Below are 3899 nucleotides of genomic sequence, written 5' to 3'. Positions count from 1 at the left end.
CTACCAAGCTCGAACAAGCCTCCCACCTCTGCCTCCAGAGTAGCTGGGACTACAGATGCCTGTCATCATGCTTGGCTAATTTTTGTATTTTTAGTAGAGACGGGGTTTCACCATGTTGGCCAGGCTAGTCTCAAACTGCTGACCTCAAGTGATCCGACTGCCTTGGCCTCCCAGATTGCTAGGATTACAGGCGTAAGCAACCACCCCTGACCAGAATTCCTCCTTTATAAAGCCTCAAGTCAATGTCTAAAAAATTGGGGGGGCAATTCCATGATTCACCAGATAACCCATATAGATGCATACTATCTATCTAAAAATACCCATTTTTACGCCAATTAATCTTTGGGGCCTTCAGTTTGCTATACGTCTACCTGTACTGTGTTTCAGGAGGCTCTATCTTGGATACAGTGACCTTCTGCACATCAGTGAAAGGACTGAAACTAGAAGAAGCAAAATTGGGATCCATGTCTACTTTGCTTCCCATATGTTATTCTGTTACCTCAAGTATCTGACTCCATTGTAGTTAATTGCTTCCTGTTTCTTTCCCTAGGTTATGAGATCCTCCACAGAGAACTGAGTAAGAACAATGATGTACATTATTAACTAAAATTATCACATCTTGCTTTATTATTTATTTGTTTTTTTAACCATCCTAGAATAGATAATGTATTGTAGTTTGTTGCCTCGGGAAAGATTTGATTTTGGTTACGTGACACAGAGAGAAGCCGGCTTAAACTTCCCTTGGATTCTTTCTATACTTGGCTTGGTTCTAAAGAGCCACACAGCTGTGGGAATCTTGCAAGCATAATTTCAATTCTACTTTCAGGTCAGAATCAAAGAAGGATTAGAAAGGAGTCCATTTCAAACTTTATAGACCACTTCAGGAATACTTATTCTATCCTACCAGTTCTGAATGTATTAAATTTATTAAAAACTGCTAAGTTCCCTGCCTAATTTTTTGTTAATATTATAATCAAATGTGCTTAGTTATTGGTGTCTCTGCAACCACTGAAAATGCCATGCACTTATGAACAGAATATATTTTCTCATTTGAAATGGCAAAGCCCCAGAGGTTCTAATAGCCACCCTCTTCCAGATACATTATTCATTGTAAACTAGCTTTCTAGAATCCTAGATTATGGAGAACTAAGTATCTTTTATATTTTAAACCACGTGTATGCTAATGTATATAATGAGCGTTTCAAACAATCTTTTTGCTCCTGGTCAACTTTTTTTTTTTTTTTTTTTTTTTTTAAATAATAAAGGCGGCCGGGCGTGGAGGCTCACGCCTGTAATCCCAGCACTTTGGCAGGCCAAGGCGGGTGGGTCAGCTGAGGTCAGGAGTTTGAGACCAGCCTGGCCAATATGGCGAAACCCTGTCTCTACTAAAAATACAAAAATTAGCTGGGTGTGGTGGCACATGCCTGTAATCCCAGCTATTCAGGAGGCGGAGGCACGAGAATCGCTTGAACAAGGAGGTGGAGGTTGCAGTGAGCCGAGATTGCCTCACTGCACTCCAGCCAGGGTGACAGAGCGAGACTCTATCTCAAAATAGTAATAATAATAATAATAATAATAATAATATAGGCACTGAACATTTTCGAAAAAGCTTAAGAAATAAGAAAAACAAGTTAGGGAAGTTTAACTGACAAAGCATTTAACACAATTCATTATAAGATGAATGACAAACAAGTAAAATGGAACATGAATAAGAGATTTATTTAGTGCATCAACTGTTAAAATGCAAGTCTTTATGGCTTATGCTTCTGTATAGACGCTAGGCCCGAAATGGAGGTCTATTTCCCACTTAAGAGCATGAAAAACACCACTTATCAACTGCAGGGAACAGTTTTGAGATTAGATGCTAGGCATCGCACAAATGGAAGCTTTTCAAAACACAACATACAGAATTACATGTTGGGAGGGGGTTCAGGAGGTCACCCAGATCAGTCGTCTCTCTATTAAATTTGTCCCTTGTTAAAATTTTTAGGGAAGGATATTCCAAAACCGGTCTGAGGTTTAAGTGTCCAAAGACCATGAGAAATCTTAAAATTTTATCACACATTGACTATAGAGAAAAGTTTTTAAAAAGTCCACAACAAAGCAGATACAATTGTATAGAAACATCTAGATAATAGAGCTCCCCAGATCAAGCCCCCTCTATTAACCCCACCACCCCGTGTTTTCTCATTACATTTAGACTGAAATTAAAATCCTGCAAGATCCTATAGGAATTAGCCCCTGACTCCTTCTCTGACCTCAGCATCTTCCACTCTCTCCCAGTGTCCCGGTTTCCTCTGTTTCAAACACTGTACGGTAGCAATAATGTGTCTCTTGTTCATCACTGCACATCTACAAAATATCTTCACAGCAACACCTAGATTGGTATTTGGTTGGATATCCCTCATGTTTTAACTGTTTAATAAATATTTCTACAAATCTACAAAAGAGTAAAAAGTTATATATATATTTGTATGGATATATATGTGTATAATTATTTTAATAGTGGTGTTTTATCTGCTTCAAAGTTCGTTTATATGTTTTTTCCCTTTCAGCTCTATCTTGTTACCTAGTTTCTTGAAACTCCCATATGCTTGCTATTAGATTACTAGGACACTAGCAACGGATAGAAGTCATTGACAAAATAGATGAATCACTCAGTGTGGCTTGGTACTGGCATTGAAAAAATAGATTGGCACAGCAATAGATGGGAAGAATGTGTTTATTGCTGTAGGAAAATACCTGGAAATACCAGTTTCTCCAGTCAGAGAAGTCAGACTCCAAGTGAGTATTTCACCACAGTCTTTCTAGAAGCAAGGTAATACAAGTATACAGATGCAAAATGGAATGACTCAGCTAGCCAAGATTCAATTAGCGTTAAAGCATAGAAGCCGCATTTAGGGGAAACTGTGAATGATAGACAACAGCTCCAAATCAGAGCAAAATGATATGTCCTTAGACCGAAAAGTTTCTTGTCTTTTTTTTTTTTTTTTTTTTTTTGATCCAGAGTGTCGCTCTGTCGCCCAGGCTGGAGTGCAGTGGCGCGATCTCGGCTCACTGCAAGCTCGGCCTCCCAGATTCACGACATTCTCCTGCCTCAGCCTCCCGAGTAGATGGGACTACAGGCACCCGCCACCACGCCTCGCTAATTTTTTGTATTTTTAGTAGAGACGGGGTTTCACCGTGTTAGCCAGGGTGGTCTCGGATCTCCTGACCTCGTGATCTGCCCGCCTCGGCCTCCCAAAGTGCTGTGATTACAGGCGTGAGCCACCGCGCCCAGCCAGTTTCTTGTCTTTCTAAGCCTCATTTGAGCCAGGGTAGTGATAGCACTTTCCATCATGGCACCACCTTAGGAGAGCAGAAACTCCGGGCTAATGTGCCACCGACAGAAAGAATAGTCAACATGTGCATTCAGATTCTGTTCATGCTACTGCTTTGAACCAAAGTCATTTTCTAGGTTGAATGAAAACGACCTTACCTGCCTCGTCCTAGCTCTAATTCCAGCAAATGCCACAAGCGGAGTATTGGCCACCCAGGCTGAGCTCGCTCACTCAGCTCTGAGCATTCTCTCCCCAACTTGTGATATAACAAAACACAGACAGTGTCTATACTCATTTCACATATCTCTGAGGTTTAGGTGTGAAATGCAACGGTTTGGTTTCAAAGCCCAGATCACTGTTTGCAGAGTGTGACGGAACTGTGAGCAGCTGGAGGGTGATACATCCATCTCCCCACCAAGTCTCTATCAACAAGCGTTTAAAGGAGATACTGGCCTAGCTCACAACAGACTAATCTCCCATGATTTATTGTGCGGCAGACTGTTTTTTCCAAAATTGACAACACGATATTTTCAGCCCCACATAGTTTTCAAGAACGTCACCTTTGCCTACCAAGAAGTG

General features: G+C 40.9%; 1 annotated feature.

Moving 5' to 3' along the window:
- Positions 3551 to 3630: a silencer, noted in NCBI's record as "silent region_4288". NCBI's record gives its function as "represses an Ori minimal core promoter by ATAC-STARR-seq in GM12878 lymphoblastoid cells {active_cell/tissue: GM12878}" and the evidence as "EXISTENCE:reporter gene assay evidence [ECO:0000049][PMID:35858748]".

Source organism: Homo sapiens, chromosome 12 (assembly GCF_000001405.40).
Source record: "Homo sapiens chromosome 12, GRCh38.p14 Primary Assembly".
Classification (NCBI taxonomy): domain Eukaryota; kingdom Metazoa; phylum Chordata; class Mammalia; order Primates; family Hominidae; genus Homo; species Homo sapiens.
The sequence above is the reverse complement of the archived record's forward strand: the minus strand, read 5'-3'. Positions and strand labels throughout refer to the sequence as shown.